Source organism: Homo sapiens, chromosome 6 (assembly GCF_000001405.40).
Source record: "Homo sapiens chromosome 6, GRCh38.p14 Primary Assembly".
In the NCBI taxonomy this organism is placed as follows: domain Eukaryota; kingdom Metazoa; phylum Chordata; class Mammalia; order Primates; family Hominidae; genus Homo; species Homo sapiens.
This window is the reverse complement of record NC_000006.12, coordinates 78,126,373-78,147,265: the sequence shown is the minus strand read 5'-3', so window position 1 is coordinate 78,147,265 and position 20,893 is coordinate 78,126,373. Positions and strand designations below refer to the sequence as shown.

Genomic DNA, 20,893 nt, shown 5'->3' with positions numbered 1-20,893 from the left:
TTTGTGAACTAACATACAATCTATGCTGTAGAAGGTTTCATGTGCACAAAAGAAGAATATGTCTTCAGTTGCTGTTGTAATGAATGTTCTGTAGATGCTTATTAGGTTCATTTGGGTCTAAAGTTTTGTTCAAGTCTGCTGTTTCCCTACTGCATTTTTGTCTGAATGATTTATCCATTGTTAAAATTGGAGTATTAAAGTTCCCTACTCTAATTGCATTACAGTCTATATCTCTTCAGATCTACTTATCTCTATTCAGATTATTTACTTTATAATGTAGTTGCTCTGATGTGTGCATATATATTTATAATTTTTATATCCTTTTGTTCAACCAATCCCTTTATATTTATATAATAACCTACTTTGCCTCTTTTTACAGTTTTTGACTTAAACTCTACTTTGTCTGATATACGTATAGCTATCTCTGTTCTCATTTAGTTTCCATTTGTATGAAATATCCTTTTCCATCCCTTTACTTTCAGACTATGTGTGTCTTTAAAGGTGAGGGGAGTCTATTGTAGGCAGCATATGGCTGGGTCTAGTTTTCTATCTTTCAATCTATTTAGACACTTTATGTCTTCTTATTGAAGATTTAATCCATTTACATTCAAAGTAATTTTTTAAGGTTGGTGAATTTTATTTTTTAATTGCAATTTTTAAAAAATGTTTGAATTTTTGTGGGTGTATATATTTATGGGGTACATGAGATGTTTTGATACTGACATTCAGTATGAAATAAACACATCATGAGGAATGGGGTACCCATTCTGCCAAACATTTGTCCTTCAAGTTACAAACAATCCAACTACACTCTTTAAGTTATTTTAAAGTGTAGGATTAAGATATGATTGACTATAGCAAAAATATGATGCTCAAATAGTAGGTCTTATTCATCCTTTCTGTTTTTCTACCCATTAACCATCCCGATCTCCAACTGCCATGACCCCGACTACCCCTCCCAGCCTCTGGTAACCATTGTTCTACTGTCTGTCCGTGAGTTCAATTGTTTTGATTTTTAGATTCCACAAATAAGTGAGACCATGCAGTGTTTGTCTTTCTGGGCCTGGCTTATTTCACATAACATAATTATCTCCAGTTCCATTCATGTTGTTGCAAATGACTGTATCTCATTCTTTTTTATGGCTAAATAGTACTCTATTGTGTATATGTAGTACATTTTCTTTATCCATTCATCTGTTAATGGACAGTTAGGTTGCTTCCAAATCTTAGCTATTGTAAACAGTGCTGCAAAAAGCATAGGAGTGCTTTGATATACTTCCTTTCTTTTGGGTATATACCCAGCAATAGGATTGTTGGATTATATAATAGCATAATTTTTAGTTATTTGAGGAAACTCCAAACTCTTCTATATAGTTGTTGTACTAATTTACATTTCCATCGATAGTGTAAAATTGTTGCCTTTTCTCCATATCCTCACAAGCATTTGGTATTACCTACCTTTTGGATATAAGCTATTTTAAATGGTCTGAGATTATATCTCACTGTAGTTTTGATTTGTGTTTCTCTGATGATCAGTGATGTTGAGTACCTTTATATATGCCTGTTTGCCATTTGTATGTCCTCTTTTGAGAAAATGTCTATTTAAATCATTTGCTCACTTATGATCACATTATTAGAATTTTTTTCCTGTAGAGTGGTTTGAGCTCTTTATATTCTGGTTATTAATCCTTTTTCAGATGGGTAGTTTGCAGATAGTTTCTCGCATTATGTGGGTTGTCACTGTTGATTGTATCCTCTGCTGTGCAGAAGCTGTTTAAGTTATTGTGAGCCCATTCATCCATTTTTGCTTTGGTTGGATGTACTTGTGGGGTATTTCTTAAGAAATCTTTGCCCAGACAGACCAATGTCCTGAAGAATTTCTCCAATGTTTTCTTGTAGGAGATTCATAGGTTGAAGTCTTAGATTTCAGTCTTTGATCTATTTTTATTTGATTTTTATACACAATGATAGATAGGGATCTAGTTTCATTCTTCTGTATATGGATGTCCGGTATTTTCAAATGCTCCATTTATTGAATAGACTGTTTTTTCCCTAGTGTATGTTCATGGCACCTTTGTCAAAAGTGAGTTTACTGTATGTATGTGGATTTGTTTCTGGGTTCTCCATTCCATCCTATTGGTCTATGTGTCTGTTTTCATGTGAGTACCGTGCTGTTTGGATTACTATAGCTCTGTAGTATAATTTGAAGTCAGATAATGTAGTCCCTCCAGTATTGTTCTTTTTGCTTAAAATAGCTTTAGCTATTCTGGGTCTTTTGTGGTTGCATATAAATTTTAGGATAGTTTTTCTATTTCTTTGAAGAATGTCATTGGTATTTTGATAGGAATCACACTGAATCTGTATATTGCTTTGAGTAGTATGGACATTTAAAAAATATTGATTCTTCCAGTCTATGAACCAGGAATATTTTGTCATTTTTGGTATCTTTTTAAATTTCTTTCATTAGTGTTTTATAATTTTCATTATGAAATCTTTTGCTTCTTTGATTAATTCCAAGGTATTTAATTGTATATGTGGCTATTATAAATGGGATTACATTTTTATTTCTTTTTCAAATTGTTCACAGTTGGCTTATAGAAATGCTGCTGAGTTTTGTATGTTGATTTTGTATCCTGCAACTACTGAATTTGTTGATTTGTTGATCAGTTCTAATTGATTTCCTGTGGAGTTTTTAGTTTTTTTTTCTTTAGTATAAGATCATCATATTATCTGTAAACAAGGATAATTTGACTTCTTTCTTTCTTTTCTTTTCTCTTTTTTTTTTTTTTTTTCTTTGAGATGGAGTCTCGCTCTGTCACCCAGGCTGGAGTGCAGTGGTGCAATCTTGGCTCACTGCAAGCTCTGCCTCCCAGGTTCACACCATTCTCCTGCCTCAGCCTCCCAAGTAGCTGGGACTGCATGCGCCTGCCACCAAGCCTGGCTAATTTTTTTTGCATTTTTAGTAGAGACGGGGTTTCACCGTGTTAGCCAGGATAGTCTCGATCTCCTGACCTCGTGATCCGCCCACCTCAGCCTCCCAAAGTGCTGGGATTACAGGCGTGAGCCACCACGCCTGGCCTGACTTCTTTCTTTCTGATTTGGGTGCCCTTTATATATTTCTCCTGTCTGATGCTCTAGCTAGGACTTTCCAGTACTATGTTGAATAACAGTGGTGACAATGGACATCCTTGTGTTCCAAATCTTGAAATGCTTTCCGTTTTTCTTCATTCAGGATTATACTAGTCATAGGTCTGCCATATATGGCTTCTATTATGTTGAGCTATGTTCCTTCTATCCCCAGTTTTGTGAGGATTTTTATCATGAAAGAATGTTAAATTTTATCAAATGCTTATTCAGCATCAATTGAAATGATCAAATAGTTTTTATTCTTCATTATGTTGTTATGATGTATTACATTGATTGATTTGCCTATGTTGAACCATCCTTCCATCCTAGGGATCAATTCTACTTGGTCATGATGAATGATCTTTCTAAAGTTTTGTTGAATTCAGCATGCTAGTATTTTGGAAAGGATTTTTGCATCAATATTCATCAGAGATATTGGCCTGTAGTTTTCTTTTTTTTCTTTATTTCTTTCTTTTCTTTTTTTCTTTCTTTCTTTTTTTATGTGTCTCTGTCTGGTTTTGGTATCAGGGAAATATGAGCCTCGTAGAATGAGTTTTGAAGTTTTTCCACTACCTTAATTTTTCAGAATGGTTTGAGTAGGAATGGAATTAGTTCTTTTTAAAATGTTTGGTTGAATTCAGCAGTGAAGCTATTGGGCCCTGAGCTTTTATTTACTAGGAGACTTTTTATTAGAGCTTCAATCTCATTACTTATTGATCTATTCAGGTTTGGGATTTTTTTCTAAGTTCAATATTGGTAGGTTGTACATATCCAGGAATTTGTCCATTTCGTCTAGATTTTCCAATGTATTGACATCATAGTAGCCACTAATGATTCTTTGAATTTCTGCAGTATCAGTGGTAATGTCTCCTTTTTAAATTTATTTTATTTATTTGGATTTTCTCTCTTTTTTTCTTAGTCTGGCTAAAGGTTTGTGATTTTGTTTAGCTTTTCAAACAATGCATTTTTTTCATTGACTTTTCATGTTGTTTTTGTCATTTCAATTTCATTTATTTTTGCTTTGGTCTTTTGTTATTTCTTTTCTTCCATTAATTTTGATGTCGGTTTGCTCTTGCTTTTCTAGTTCTTTAAGATGGATTGTTAAATTGTTCATTTGAAGTTTTTCCTCATTTTTGATGTAGACACTTATACTCTTAACTTCTCTCTTAGTATTTCTTTTGCTGTATCCCATAGGTTTTGGTATGTTTTGTTTCCATTACCATTTGTTCCAAGAAATTTTTCAATTTCCTTGTTAATATCTTCATTGACCTACTGGTCATTCAGAAGCATAGTGTTTGATTTCCATGTATGTGTATAGTTCCCAAAATTCCTCCTGTTATAAATTTCTAGTTTTATTCCATTGTGGTCAGAGAAGATACTTGATATTATTTCAATTTTTTTGAATGTTTTAAGAATTGTTTTGTGACTTAAAATATGATTTATCCTGGAGGGTGATCTAAGTGCTGAGGAAAAGAATGTGTATTCTGCAGCTGTCTAATGAAATGTTCTGTAAATATCTCTTAGATCCATTTGGTCTAGAGTGCAGATTAAATTTGCTGTCTCTTTGTTAATTTTCTGTGTGGAATATCTGTGCAATGCTGAAAGTGGGGTGTTTGAAGTCTCTGTCTATTTTTGTAGTGGGACCTATCTCTCTCTTTAGCGCTAATAATATTTGCTTCATATACCTGGGCACTCAAGTGTTGGGTGCATAAAAATTGTTATATCTTCTTGCTGAATTGATGCCCTTATCATTATTTAGTGACCTTCTTTGTCTCATAGTTTTGGTCTTGAGATCTATTTTGTCTGATATAAGTATAATAACTCCTGCACTTTTTTGGTTTCCATTGTCATGGAATATTTTTTTTACATCCCTTTATTTTCAGTCTATTTGTGTCTTTATAGGAGAAGTGTGTTTCTTGTAGGCAACAGTTAAATGGATGCTGTTATTTCATCCATTCAGCCAGTCTATGTCTTTTGTTTGGAGATTTTTTCCATTTCATTTATTGTTATTATTGATAAGTAAGGACTTACTCCTAAAGTTTTGTTATTTGTTTTCTGGTCTTTTTTCTGGTCTTCATGTCTTCCTCTAGTGAAGGTGATTTTTCTCTGCTGATATTATTTAGTTTATTGATTTTTTATATTTTGTGTGTTCATTGTATGGTTTTTGTTTTGAGATTGTGATGAAGCTTGCTAATTCTGTTTTGTAACCTATTATTTTTATCTGATAACAACTTAACACTGTTTGTATAAACAAACTAACAAACAAGCAAAAAGAAAACTAATAAAAATTCTATGCCTTAACTACATCCCTTGTTTTTTAACTCTTGGACAATATCTTATTGTACTGATTATGTCTTGCAACATTGTTTTACTTACTATTTTTTATTGGTTTATTCTTTAGTGTTTGTACTTAAGAGTAGTTAACACACCACAGTTACAGTGTTAAAATATTTAGTATTTTTCTGTGTACTTTCCATTATCTGTGAGTTTGCTACCTTCAGGTGATTACTTATTGCTCACTAATATTATTTTCTTTCTGATTGAAGTACTCCCTTTAGCATTTCTTGTAGGATGACTGGTGATGAAATTCCTCAGCTTTTCTTTGCCTGGGAAAGTATTTAGTTCTCCTTCATGTTTAAAGGATATTTTTGCTCATATACTATTCTAGGATAAAAAATTTTTCCTTCAGCATATTAAATATGTCATACCACTCTCTTCTGGCCTGTAAGGTTTCCATTGAAAAGTCTGCTGCCAGACATATTGGAGCTTCATTGTATGTTATTTGTTTCTTTTCTCTTGCTCCTTTTTTTATCCTTGATCTTTGGAAGTTAAATTATTAAATGCCTTGAGGTAGTCTTCTTTGAGTTAAATCTGCTTGATATTCTGTAACCTACTTGTACTTGGATATTGATATCTTTCTCTCATTTTGTGAAGTTTTCTGTTATTGTCCCTTTGAATAAACTTTCTAATTGTATCTCTTTTCTTACCTCCTCTTTAAGAGCAATAACTCTTAGATTTGCCCTTTTCGGGCTATTTTCTAGATCCTGTAGGCATGCTTCATAATTTTTTATTCTTTTTTCTTTTGTCTTTTCTGACTGAATTTTCAAACAGCCTGCCTTCAAGCTCAGTAATTCTTTCCCTTGATAAATTCTGCTATAAGAGAACTCTAATGCATTCTTCAGTATGCCAGTTGCATTTTTAGCTCCAGAATTTCTTCTTGAATTTTTTTTTATTATTTCACTTTCTCTGTTAAATTTATCTGACAGAATTATGAATTCCTTCTCTCTGCTATCTTGAATTTATTTGAGTTTCCTTAACACACCTATTTTGAGTTCTCTGTCTGAAAGGTCACACTTGTCTGTTTCTCCAGGTTTGGTCCCTACTGCCTTATTTAGTTCATTTGGTGAGACCATATTTTTCTGGATGATTGCTGAGTCTGTCCTTCAGACTCTGGCTGAGTGACGGATGAAAGAAGTGTGCTGACACAGGTATTCTGCCTGACAGCACAGCTAGGAGATGCATGGCTTAGCACTGCCAATGATAGTGCTGCCTCCATAAGCCAGCCCCGCTCACATTTATTTAGTACAGATTTAATGACAAAGGCTTGGAGCAAACACCTTTTGTGGGTAATAAACATCGTTGACCCCCTGAGTAGGAGGAGTCCTGCACGCGAATGATCAAAAGTTGGTTTCTGGAGACAGGAGTAAACAAATTTATCTAGATAGGTTCCTTTACATTCCCTTGTTATCTGCCCTTTGCTCTCAGCCTGTGGATAAGAGAATTTGGCTGCCTTCAGCCATAATTCTCTCCTGAAGCTTTTGCAAAACCTCCCGGTCTTCCAAGAAGTTTTGCATCTTTCCCTATAACTTTTTTTTATAACTTTTCCCACCACCCTGACTGATCTCCTACATCTCCCCCTTGCCTGTTTTTTTGCATCAGGTTCTGTTAATTTAAGAATACAGATGTGTGCAGCAACAGGTTTGCCTGGCACAGCCGTTACTGCTGGTATTCCAGCTTTGTATCATAGAATTAGTAAATAACATAAGACAAACATGAGTAGAATCAGTAACATTCTTTTCCAATCAAGGAGTGACCCCCAGGAGTGGGAGTCTATCCAGGAGAGATGTTCTCACACATCCTTCTATATGGCTGTTTGTTGGGTGTTTAGGGACTCTAGAATTTTAGTTCTAAGTTGCTTTATGTCTGTGGTTAAATTATCATGTAAGGTTCCCCAGAGGTGTTGTTTCGCCTCATCCCAACTATGTATTGATTGAGTCCAAGGTAGAGAGGTGACACAGATATGCTTATGCTCCCAGTCACAGTTTAATTGCTGTCAGAATGCCAGTGCATCTTGTCACTCCCCTACATATTCTAAGGCAGCCTCAAGGGCTTGCAGATGTGCAAGAATTTTTTGATATATACATCCCTGTGTAAGAGAAGTTCACTAGACACATTTCTGGCCAAGTTATCTGCAAATGTACCTATTTGTACTGATTCAGTAATAGAGACCACAGGAACACTAGCAGTTGCTAAGATGACTATGACTGAGACTACAAAGGCTATAAGTGTGCCTATGAATCTTTTATGTCTGACCTGGTACAGGGCACATTCTAAGGTGGCAAGAGCAGAGGAGCCTTGCCAATCATGTGTTAAATTGACTGGTAGGAATGCCTCAGATTGTCTCCTTAATACCAAGACACTAGTAATATTTAAATTAGATATATAGTAATTAGTGATACATGAGGTGAATCAAGCCTGTCCCTGCACTCAGGTCACAAACGTAGAGTTTTGGGGTGTAATGGAAATATGAGTTCCCATAAGGAAAACATATGGATGAGTAGTGCAAGTCAGGAACTGATCTGTGTGATTATGAATAATGGTCATAGTGTAGTTGTTACTGGAATTATGAAATGTCCCATGCCAGGTGTTAAGAGAGGTGCTAAGTTGTCCCAGGCACCATAAAGTGTTATGGGGTGGTATAGACTCTACTTGGGGTCTGGAGTATCCCATCCCTTCATTGGCCCAAATCACAGGGGAATGAGACGTGGCTATGAAACTGTGATTGATGCCACGATGGATGCGAACATCAGTATGGTTGCCCTGCAAATAGTAATGGGGGCTCCAGTCTAAGATGTTATAATTGCCTAACTGGAGGCTACAGGCTTGTCCCAGCCAAAGTGGAATCCATTACTTTCCTAGCTACATTCTTTAGCACAGGAAGGAATGTTGGGGAAAGTGGCATTGGTTGCATTGCCTGGTTTGAGGCTACCTGCAACTAAGAATGTTAAGGCATTTCCTTTGCCGTGATGTAGCCATAATTTTGTTTGGGCTGGTACACAGTAAGGGTTAGAACTTTTATAACTTATACACAGTGGGAGGATAGTGGAGTGATAAGTAGTGTTACCTGGGACCTTGGTCCAATGTGTGCCATTAATGAGGGACCCCACTGGGGTAAGTCAATCCCTCCTAGCCAAGTAGTTACATTATTAGAGGCTGGGAAGGGGGTGTCTGCCCAAGTAACACGGTGGAAGAAAGGCATATCTAAGAGATGAGCCCAATAGAGCATAGCCAGTATGGGTTGCAGGCAAAGTGGGAGCATAAAAAGGATCAATACCCTACACGTGTTGCAATGTACAATAGAAAGCTTAGCAAGGAACAAATTATCTGGAGTGAATGGTGTCCGTGTCCAGAGAAGGATTTGCTCAGCCTCCTTTGTTGTCTTCTTCAGCATCCCTCAGGTAATACCACAGATTGTATCATCTGAGGAAGCGACATTGTCCAGGGCTGCGGGTCCTGCAGGGTCACTTCCTTCATTTCTGGCACTGGGTTGGGTCCTAGCAAAGCCATGGTATGGTTTGATGCATCGTGCTGGAATGCAGAGGACCTGAGGGGGTGTGAACACAAGCATATCCTCTTCCTCATGTTAGCAATTCATTTGGTTCACACCATACATTACTATTTACATCTTTCCATAAAACTGCGGGTTTTATGTCTTGAGGGGTTTTATGTCTTGAGAAGTTTTAGCAAAGTGCTTTTCTATAGCTGATTGAAATTTATCATTTGAATTTAAGAAATTAAGGGTAAATAAGGCTTGTGCTAGTAGTGTTGCAGGGTCCTTACTCATATTCCCCCTTTTTTGTTTTCTGAGCATATTTTTAAGAGCAGAATGGACGTGTTCTACTATGGCCTGTCCTTGGGTATTATATGGGATGCCTGTGGCATGTTGGATGTTCCACGCGTGACAAAATTGTTGAAATTGTAAGTTGGCATAAGTCAGACCATTATCAGTTTTAATTTTTGTGGGCTGCCCTAGAAATGTGAAAGTTAAGAGAAGGTATATAATGACATATTGGGTGGGCTCTCCAGGAAGAGCATGTGTGCTAATTAGGTGAGAATTGGTATCAACAGATACATGTACATATCTTAGTTTTCCAAATTCAGGGATGCATGTAACATCTGTTTGCCATAACTGATTAGGTTCTAGTCCTCTAGGGTTAACACCTGTTGAAGGAGGGGATGTGACTGTGAGCTGGCAATGTGGGCATTGCAGGATAATTTGTTTAGCTAGTCTTTGGGTAAGTTTAAATTGTTTAGTTAAGTTTATCCAATTTTGGTGGAAAAATTTATGGGATTGTGTGGCTTGGTCAAGCAATGATGTCATAACTTGCAGGTCTGCTTGATCATTGCCATAAGCCAATGGGCCAGGCAGTGAGCTGTGGGCTCGAATATGTGTGATAAAAATAGGATGTGTACGTTGATCCAGCAATTCAAAGTCAAAGAAAAAGTGCACACAGTGTGGGCTCAAGAGTGGACTTAATGAGGGCTGTTTCAAGGTTCTGCAATAAATAAATAGAGTAAGCAGAGTCACTAACAATATTGATAGGCTGAGTGGAAAAGGTCTCCAGGGCCAATATTAAGGCTTTAACCTCAGCTCTCTGAGTGCTAGTAAATCCAGAATGAGTGAGCGAATTATACAGTCTCCCACCAAATAGCTGCTTTTCCATTTTTACCAGAGCCGTCAGTAAAAACTGTTAAAGCGTTAGGTGTGAGAGAGTGAACTACTTTTGTAGGCAAAACTACAAGAGTACGAGATAAGAACTGTAGTAGTTTGTCAGAAGGAAGGGCATCCTTTATATGGCCTGCATAATCAGAGAGTGCTATCTGAAGATCTAGAGATAAGGGCAATACTGCTTCAAATTGCTTTTTACTCAAAGGAATTCTTATGACCTCAGGGTCATAACCTAGCAACTGATTGCATCGTCTGTGGCCTGTATAGATGACTTTACTAACTAGCTGGATATAGAGAGATAGTGTTTTAGTCCTGGTATGTGAGCAAAAGTCCCATTCTAGAAAGCACAGCCCTGGGGCCATCTGTCTTATTAATCCTGTTGGGGAATGTTTAGTAGGATAAACAAATAACGGACTGAATATTGTGGGTCTATGTGATCTAGTTGCCTCTGAGAAATAGCTTGCTCTATTTCCTCAATATCCCTTTTTGCTGCAGGAGTTAAATACCTGGGAGAGTCTAGGACTGTATTGCCCTTTAGGATAGAAAACAGGTTTTGTAACTCATCAGTAGTTATGCCCAAGGTGGGGCAAAGCCAATTAATATCACCTGGTAATTTTTGATAAGCATTTAAGGTGTGTAAGTTGCTACTATTTAATTTAACCTTTTGAGGTCTTACTGACCAGGAAGTTAGTATGTATCCAAGATATTTCCAAGGAGAGGACAATTGTACTTTTTCAGATGCTATAATTAAACCTCTTAACTGTGTATTGTTTATGACTGAGGCATATAAACTTAAAAGTACTGGCTCCGTTGGGGCTGCTAGTAAAATATCATCCATAAAATGAATAATCTGCAATTAGAAAATTCTTTTCTACTGGGGAGCAAAGCCTGATTTACATGATACTGACACACGGTAGGATTGTTCAGCTTTCCTTGAGGAAGTACTTTCCAATGAAATTGGCAAGCTGGCCTTTCATTATTGACAGCTGGTATTGTAAACACAAATTTTTCTCTGTCCTGTTCTGCAAGGGGAATAGTATAAAAGCAGTCTTTTAAGTCAATAACAACTAAAGGCCAATCTTGAGGAATCACCGTGGGGGAATGGAGACCCTGTTGAAGGGGTACCATAGGTTGCAAATTAGCATTGATAGCCTGTAAGTCATGCAAAAGTCTCCATTTGCCAGACCTTTTGGGAATGACGAAAATGGGCAAAGTCCAAGGAGTGCTTGATGGTTCTATATGGCCAGCTTTTAATTTCTCCTCAACTAATTCATGTGCTTATTGTAATTTCTTTCCCTTTAAAGGCCACTGTTCAACCCAAATTTGATCTTGAGAGAGCCACATCAGGGGTAGGGGAGGAATAACAACAGTGGCCAAAATTAGAAAGGGGTCTGCAGAGTGACCCCACATTGGGCTAATGGGTCCCGTCCCCAAAGATTAACAGGGATGGGCATGATTAAAAAGTTGTATAACTGCATTTCTTCCTTCTGAATTGCAGCATGTTAGGAGGCACATGCCCTGCTTGGCTGTATGTACTTCCCCGATGCCAACAATTTTTTGTTTCTGAGTGACCCAAGGCCAAGTTTCTGGCCAGTTTTGATCACTAATGATTGAAATGTCTGTATCTGTGTCCAATAAGCCAGTAAAATTTTCATTTCCAATTTTTAAAGTAATCATGGGTCTTTGAACAGTGATTAATTGCTTCTAATATACTCCTCTGGCTCCCATGCTTCCAAAGCTTCCCTTTTCCCTTTCCTTTCCCTGGTCACTGGGGTCCCAGTATGGTAAGAGTAGCAACTGAGCTATCTTTGATGCAGGGGGAAGAATATGCAGACCTTTACATTCCATCATAACTAATATCTCACCTTGATAATCACTATCAATTTCCCTGATGAGCACACTGATTCCTTTACTGGATAGGCTTGATCACCCTAGGACTAATCACACTGTTCCTGGAAGCAGTGGGCCCCAGATCCCTGGTGCAACCCTTTTAGGGTCTTCTCCTTCTTTTGGCAGTAATTCATTGGGGCAGAGTAAGTCCAGTCCTGCGTTCCTAGAGGTGGCCGCTCTGAGAGAGAGGAGGGCCTTCCATCTGACCGAGGAAATCTGCTGGCATTGCCCCAATTTGGAGCAGGGCCTGGGGCTGGCCCCCTCTGATTACTTAGGGGGTTGCCATTTTTATCAAATTTGAACTTGCACTGATTTGCCCATTGTTTCCCCTTTTTACATCAGGGTCATATAGAAGAGGGTTCTTTTCCTGAGTTACTTTGGTCTCTATTATTGGGACATTCCCTCTTCACATGACCTGGCTCTCTGCATAGAAAACAATTTGGGTTTTTCTCTCTTTTCACTTTAGGAGGCCTTAATGCCATAGCCAGTATTTTGGCTTTGTGTGTTTCAATCCCCACCAGTTGACATGCTCCTATAAGTTCCCCGACTGTGGCTGCCTTTCCTCTGATTGCCTGCATTGCTTCCTGGCAGTTGACATTAGCATTTTCATAAGCTAATTACAACAATAAGATATTAGCAGCCTGGGCTTGACTAATTTGTCTCTTAATTTCCTGGGTTAACCAATTGATAAATTCAACAAATGGCTCCTGAGGCCCTTGTCGGACATTTGTATAAGATCCCTGTTGAACTCCGCTTTCAGAAATTCGGTCCCAAGCCCTGAGAGTGCACAAAGACACTTGTGCACAGGCTTGGAGAACAAAACTTAGTTGTACATTGGCATGGGGACCCCTCACCTGGAGCATAGCAGCTTGCCCAGCCAATTGATTCTGGTTGGCTTGTTGTTCATACAACTCATCATATTCTGCCTTCCACAGGAGGTATTGACTGGGCTCTAAAGTTGTTTTAGCTAGCATTGACCAGTCCCATGGAATCATACAGAAGTTGTCTTCTATGGCTTCAATTATTCCTTTTGTAAATGGGCTAGCAGCTCCGTTTTCTTTAATGCTTTTTCTTATCTCTTTATACACCTGATTGACTTGTCGATCATGCATTACCAGGCAGGCCAAGAGTTCCCCTTCTAATGCCGGTGCCTAAGACAGGGTCCCATAGATGAACCATATCCCTTGTCTTTTTTCCAATTTATTGGAGGTGGGGGCTCAGGGAAAGCTTCTGGTCCCTCTTTGGTATTTTTGCCCGGTAATGGCGCAGCTGAGGGAGAAGGAGGAGGCAGTAAGATATGTGATGGTTCCTCCTCCCTTCCCTTTTTAGGCTCTTCTGTGTAGAACAGGACCAAAGCAGCCCTAACTAAGGCCCATAACATTAAAGATATTCCTGGGACATTGCCCTTGTGCATAATGTTGTTTAAGACTTCTCCCCGCTTGTTCCCAGAGCTCTATGTCTAGCGTGCCTTCTTCTGGGAATGCCTTCCCATGGGTTATGGGAAACAAGAATTTGCATTAGGTCCCTTAATTGAGCCTGCAAAACTGAGGCTCTACTAGCTTTAAGCAGCTGTTTCAATACTTTTATATGCTGTTGACGTTGAGCTGATAACTATTGTCCCATGATGAAACCGTAGCCTGAACAATTCCCTCGAACTTGGAAATCCTGAGTGGGCACCAATTGTGTCCAGAATTGGTTCCTTCCAGTGGGTTTGTGGTCTCATTGACTTCAAGAATGAAGCTGTGGACCTGTGCGGTGAGTGTTACAGCTCTTAAAGATGGCAGGGACCCAAAGAGTGGGCAGTAGCAAGGTTTATTGTGAAGAACAAAAAAACAAAGCTTTCACTGCATGGAAGGGGACCCAAGTGGGTTGCCACTGCTAGCTGGGGTGGCCAGCTTTTATTTCCTTATTTGTCCCCTCCCATGTTCCATTTCTGTCCTATCAGAATCCCCTTTTTTCAGTCCTCCCTGCAGTTGGCTACTTTTAGTATCCTGCTGATTGGTGGGTTTTACAGAGTGCTGACTGGTGCATTTTACAGAGTGCTGATTGGAGCATTTTACAGAGCGCTGATTGGTGCATTTTACAATCCTCTTGCTAGCTACAGAGTGATGATTGGTGCATTTTACAATCCTCTTGTAAGACAGAAAAGTTCTCCAAGTCCCCACTGGACTCAGGAAGTCCAGCTGGCTTCACCTCTCACAACGACTTACAGACAGCACAGTCTCTTCACCTTTGTTTTCAAGAATTCTGTCATGATCCATTGCAGTGGTCCTCAATGGGGCACCACCTGCCAAGTCTGTACTGCATACTCTGGCTGAGCAACGGATGAAAGAAGTACGCTGACACAGGTATCCTGCCTGACAGCGCAGCTAGGGGAGTGCACGGCTTGGCACCACCGAGAGTGCTGCCTCCATAAGCCGTCCCCACTTACACTTATTTAATACAGAGTTAATCAAAAAGGCTTGGAGCAAACACCATTTGTGGATAATAAACATTGTCAACCCCCTGAGTAGAGAGCAGTCCTGCACAAGAATGACCAAAGGTTGGTTTCTGGAGACAGGAGTAAACAAATTTATCTAGATAAGTTCCTTTACATTCCCTTGTTATCTGCCCTTTGCTCTCAGCCTCTGGATAAGAGAATTTGGCTGTCTTCAGCCATAATTCTCTCCTGAAGCTTTTGCAAAACCTCCAGGCCTTCCAAGAAGTTTTGCGTCTTTCCCTATAACTTTTTTTTATAACTTTTCCCACACCCTGACCAATCTCCTACAGACGGTTGTGATGCTAGTAGATGTTCTTTTGTGTATGGGCATTGAGGAGTTAGGTATTTGTTGTAGTCTTCACTGTCTGGGCTTACTTGTACCTGTTCTTCTTGAGAAGGCTTTTCAGTTATTTGATAGGACTTGGAGGTTGTGATCTAAGTTGTATATGCACCCCAAGCTCAGTAATGCTGTGGTTCTTGCAGACCCATAGAGGTATCACCTTGATGGTCTTGGAAAAGATCCAGAATTCTCTGGATTATCAGGCAGAGACTTTTGATCTCTTCCTTTACTTTCTCTCAAACATACAGAGTTTTTGTCTCTCTCTTTCTCTCTCTCTGTTTTGAGACACCTAAAGCTGAAGATGGAGTGACACAAACATCTCTGTGGCTTCCACTACTATGACTGTACTGGGTCAGACCTGAAGCCAGCACAACACTGAGTCTTGTCCAATCCCTGCTGTAACCACTCCCTGATTACTGCCTATGTTCTCTCAAGGTCCTCGGGCTCTATAAATAGCCAGAAGTAAAGTAAGCCAGGCTTGTGTCCTTCCCTTCAAGACAGTAAGGTCCCTTAGTCCCCGGCTGGGTCCAGAAGTGCCATCCAGTACTCAGAGATTAGAGTCAAAAACATTAGAAGTCTACCTGATGTTCTGTTATATTGTGGCTGAGCTGGCACTCAAACCACAAGACACAGTTCTTCCCACTCCTCTCTTTTCCCAAGGCCAAGGAGCCTCATTCCACAGCCTCTGCCACCCCAGGCCACAAGGAGTACTGCCAGACTATCACTGATGTTCCTTAAGGTCCAAGTTCTCTTAAGTCAGTTTGTCATGAATCCTGCCTGGCCTGGGACTCACCCTTAAGGGCAGCAGACTCTCCTCTGGCCCAGCAAAGGTCCAGAAATGATGTCCAAGAGTCAAGTCTTAGAGTTAGGGACCCCCAAGTGCTCACTTGGTGATCTAACACCTGTGGCTGTGCTGGTACCTAAGGTGCAAGACAGAGTCCTTTTTTATGTTTCCTTTTGTTTTTCTCAAGCATAAGGAGATTTGCCTTGTAGCCACCACACCTGGTGATGTGCTAAATCTCACCTGAAGCCAGCAAGTCACAGAGGCTCATCTAAAGCCCTTGACATAGTACCTGGGTAGCCCTGCTGGTTTTTCAGGGTCCAAGGTCTCTTCAGTTAGTAGGTGATGAATACCACCATGAGTGCTCTTTCCTTCATGGCAGTGTGTTTCCATCTGGCCCAATGAATGTCTAAGAATGTCATCTGGGAGCTAGGGCCTGGCTTCCATGACTCTGACTGGTACCCTATCCTGCTGTGGCTGAGCTGGTATCCTCGATGCAAGAAAAAGTCCTCCCTACTCCTCTCTCCTCAAGCAGAATGAAGGGGTCTTTTGGAGCCTTTGAGCTGTGCAGCCTGGGGTTAAGGGTGTGGGAGGTGATGCCAGCATTTTCCTGGCTGCTCCAACTGGTGTCTAGATATGTCAAGTGCCCCTCAGTCCACTGTCTCTGGACTGAACTCAGCACAAGGACTCACCTAAGATCTGAAGTCTTTATGGACTAGGCTGCCTTTCAAGATTACTTGGAGACACAGAGTGATTTAGCCCTCAGTGGCAAAGTTTGCAGGCACTCAAGTTCGACAGTTAGCATAGGCAATTCCCCTCTGGCCAGGGCTGATTTAAACACTCCATCCTTGGGCCAGTAACAGCTGAGTTGGTCCTGGTTTCCTTTCTCCTCCAACAGGACAGCACTTCACATCTGCTGTGTTCTCCCTCCCTCAGTGCCCAGAGATTCTGTATGCACCATGTTGCTGGCTGGGGTGGGAGAGGGGTGGTGTAGGTGATTTAAAACTGTTTGTTTTTGTTTTGTTTTGTTTTGTTTGAGACATTGGCTCACTCTGTTACCCAGGCTGGAGTACAGTGGTGCAATCTCAGCTCACTTCAACCTCCACCCCCTGGGGTTGAGTGATTCTCCTGCTTCAGCCTCCCAAGTAGCTAGGACTACAGGCACCTGCCACCATGCCCGGCTAATTTTTTGTATTTTTAGTAGAGGCAGGTTTTGCCACGTTGGCCAGACTTGTCTTGAACTCCTAACCTCAGGTGATCTGCCCACCTAAGCCTCCCAAAGTGCTAGGATTACAGGTGTGAGCCACCATGCCCAGCCTAAGAACTATTTTTTTATATGTTTTCATTGCTTCTTTCAGAGATGAGAAGTTAAAACCAGGTATTCTGAGTGCTCACCTGGTTTTGGTTCTTATGAAAGTGGTTTTTTATTTTTGTTTGTTTTCCTGTGTAGATAGTTGTTAATTTGGTGTCCTTGTGGAAGGGGAAGATCTGTGGAGCTTTCTATTCTGCCATTTTGTTTTGACTTCTCCCCAAGGTAACTATTGATAGCAAAAACTTACCACTGAAATTTTCTAATTCTTTTTCTTGTTGTTTTGGATATACTTTATTTCTTTTTTGCTGTCTTCCTTTGCAGTTTAATGGTTTTGTGTAGCAGTATGTTTTGGATCCTTTTTATTTACATTTTGTACATCAACTATAAATTTTTACTAATGGTTACCATGAGGGTTACATAGTACATCTCGTAACAGTCTGTTTTAAGCTAGTAACAACTTTGACTACATACAAGTGTATACTTTTACTCCTTCTCCACATGTTTTATGATTAGGTGTGAAAGTGTACATTTTTAATACTTTGTATCTCCTGACAATTTATTTTAGCTACAGTTTTTTAATAGTTTTGCCTTTTACTTATCAAACTAGAGTTCAAATTTTATATACACCACTATTACAGTCCTATTTTGTATACAACTCTGTGCTATTTATAGCATTGAGATTTCTATTTTTAGATGTTTTGTGTTATTTACTAAGGCCCTTTTTTTTTAAGCTTAAGGAACTCCTGTTAGTATTTCCTTTAAGACTAGTGATAATGAACTGTCTAGACTTTGTTTGTCTTGGAAATATTTTATTTTTCCTTCATTTCTGAAGGATTGTTTTGCATAGACACCAGCCTGAAAGTTACCTGAACTCATAATCTAAGAATCTGGGTTATTTATACACCAAAGGAGCTTTTCTTTACAGTCTATTTAAGTGGCCCTTTCCCCAACTTGTTATTATCTGTTGCAACATCCTATTCATTTTTTTATAGAGATTTGCTTCACTTATATATGCTTTTTTTTTAAGTTCATTGACTGCCAACAGTTCTCCTTCTCAGGAATATAGTCTCTGAGGAAAAAAAACTGAATCTATTTCACATATTATTGTGAAACCAGTATCTACCATAGCGTCTGGCACATAGCAAACCCTTAATAAAATTTGTTAAATAAGAGAATAGAATAAAGAATGATGTCTCAGGAGAAAAATGATACTTATACAGTAATTTTCTAGAAATCCATAAAAAAATTTAATTAGCTTTTTATTCTCAATAGACAATAAAAACCTTAAATAAGAATAGACTGAGGTGAAAAGATAAAATATAATTCAAAGTTCAGCTGTTATACTTCATTTATATTTTGCAAATGATTACAATACATGCTTGTTGTAACAAATGATACAATTAACTACAAAGTCTTATAAAAGCAAAATTATTTTCTCTTCCAGACCATACCCATTCAATTAATTCCCAGCACCCCAAATAACCAATGTAATTAGCCAGTTATGTATTTTCCGACATCTTTTTTAAGTTAATACATATAACAACCACCTTTAAGAGATATCAGTGCATCTTTTTTTTAACCAAAATAGACCTATATTATACACATTATTCTTCAATTTTATTTTATTTATTTATTTATTTATTTTTAAGTTTTTTTTTTCTTTTATTATTATACTTTAAGTTTTAGGGTACATGTGCACATTGTGCAGGTTAGTTACATATGTATACATGTGCCATGCTGGTGCGCTGCACCCACTAACTTGTCATCTAGCATTAGGTATATCTCCCAGAGTGTGATGTTCCCCTTCCTGTGTCCATGTGATCTCATTGTTCAGTTCCCACCTATGAGTGAGAATATGCGGTGTTTGGTTTTTTGTTCTTGCGATAGTTTACTGAGAATGATGATTTCCAATTTCATCCATGTCCCTACAAAGGACATGAACTCATCATTTTTTATGGCTGCATAGTATTCCATGGTGTATATGTGTCACATTTTCTTAATCCAGTCTATCATTGTTGGACATTTGGGTTGGTTCCAAGTCTTTGCTATTGTGAATAATGCCACAATAAACATACGTGTGCATGTGTCTTTATAGCAGCATGATTTATAGTCCTTTGGGTATATACCCAGTAATGGGATTGCTGGGTCAAATGGTATTTCTAGTTCTAGATCCCTGAGGAATCGCCACACTGACTTCCACAATGGTTGAACTAGTTTACAGTCCCACCAACAGTGTAAAAGTGTTCGTATTTCTCCACATCCTCTCCAGCACCTGTTGTTTCCTGACTTTTTAATGATTGCCATTCTAACTGGTGTGAGATGGTATCTCATTGTGGTTTTGATTTGCATTTCTCTGATGGCCAGTGATGATGAGCATTTTTTCATGTGTTTTTTGTATTCTTCAATTTTATTTAAAAAATTTGAAAATATATCATTTAAGTCATCAGACGTGGGATATTTGTTTTTTTGCTTTCTTTTTTTTTTTCCTTTTCTTTTTTGAGATAGAGTCTTGCTCTGTCACTCAGGCTGGAATGCAGTGGCGCGATCTCAGCTCACTGCCACCTCTGCCTCCTAGGTTCAAGCGATTCTTCTGCCTCAGCCTCCTGAGTAGCTGGGACTACAGGCACATGCCAACACGCCTAGCTAATTTTTCCATTTTTAGTAGATACGGGGTTTCACCATATTGGCCAGGCTGGTCTGGAACTCCTGACCTCGTGATCCGCCCCACTCAGCCTCCCAAAGTGCTGGGATTACAGGCGTGAGCCACCACACCCAGCTGGTTATTTCATTTTTCTCCTATGTGTGTGTGTTTGTGTGTGTGTGTAAAATATTTTCATAAGGGAAGTACATCGTTGCATGATAGAATTGTTTTAGAAGGAGTATTTTCAACTTGCCTTACTCCACTTCTCCCTTTAAAAATCTCTTCTGGCCCTCACCCTTCTCTCCCAATATAAGTAACCCACATAAACAACTTGCTCTACTTTTCACCTCAATTACTAACATCAACATCAATGCACATACACAGACACACACATATTTACATTTACACACAAGAGTGTCATCATTATGTTACTTCTAAAAATGCAATCATATTATATATCCTTTTATAAATTTTACTTTTGTCACTTTATAATACTGCCACGAATAACTGGCAAATGTCCAATTTATTGTATTAATAGCTATAGCCTTTCGTAAAGTAAAGACACCATAATGTATTGATCTCATTCTCTCCTTGATCTTCATTGACATCAGTGTAATGGAATCTCTCAATGTGACTTCAATTTACATTTATGTAACTAACTACTGTAAATTTTAATATCTCTGTGTCTATTGGTCAATTGGATTTGCTGTCCTAGAAATTGTTTATTTTGATATTTTATTCATATTTCTATTGGGTTTTTGGTTATTTTCTGATTAACTTGTGGCTAGTGTGGGCCTTCAATAAGTCATCTGCACTGAAAACCTTTCAAATTTTTTTTTGCTTAACTATTTGGCTGTAATTATGTATTTTTCTATATAATTATTTTCCATTTCTATATAGTCAAACATTATATTCTTTCATATTTCAATATTCTCTGTTTTAAGAAGTTCTGCCCTACTATTAGGATATATGTTTTATCTTTAAAAATATCATTGTTTTATTTTTCCATTAATTCTTTAATGTAGTAGGTATATATTTGTTTATTTGCTGAGAGAAGTTTTCAACTTTATTTAATAGCTGGCACTTATTAAGTTTTTTGCAATGATTTGAACTATTATTACGTATTAAATTTTTACATCTATTGCAATCTCATGTTTTTCTGTTCTGCTCTACCGATCTATTTGATTATTTATTTCTAGTATATCAATTTGAATGCATCATGTCATAGTGTTTTGTAATATAAGTATTCTTTTTCTTTTTGTTACATGTTCTACTATATCTAAATATTTATTCTTTTATATTAACTAACTGATTA

The 20,893-nt window shown here is 38.4% G+C and overlaps 1 long non-coding RNA gene across 1 annotated transcript in view; it reads left to right on the top strand.

The window, feature by feature from the left end:
• LOC105377865 (uncharacterized) overlaps positions 1–20,893 on the top strand; it is a 374,941-nt gene that overhangs the window by 153,556 nt on the left and 200,492 nt on the right. The gene's annotated exons all lie outside the window — the stretch shown is intronic.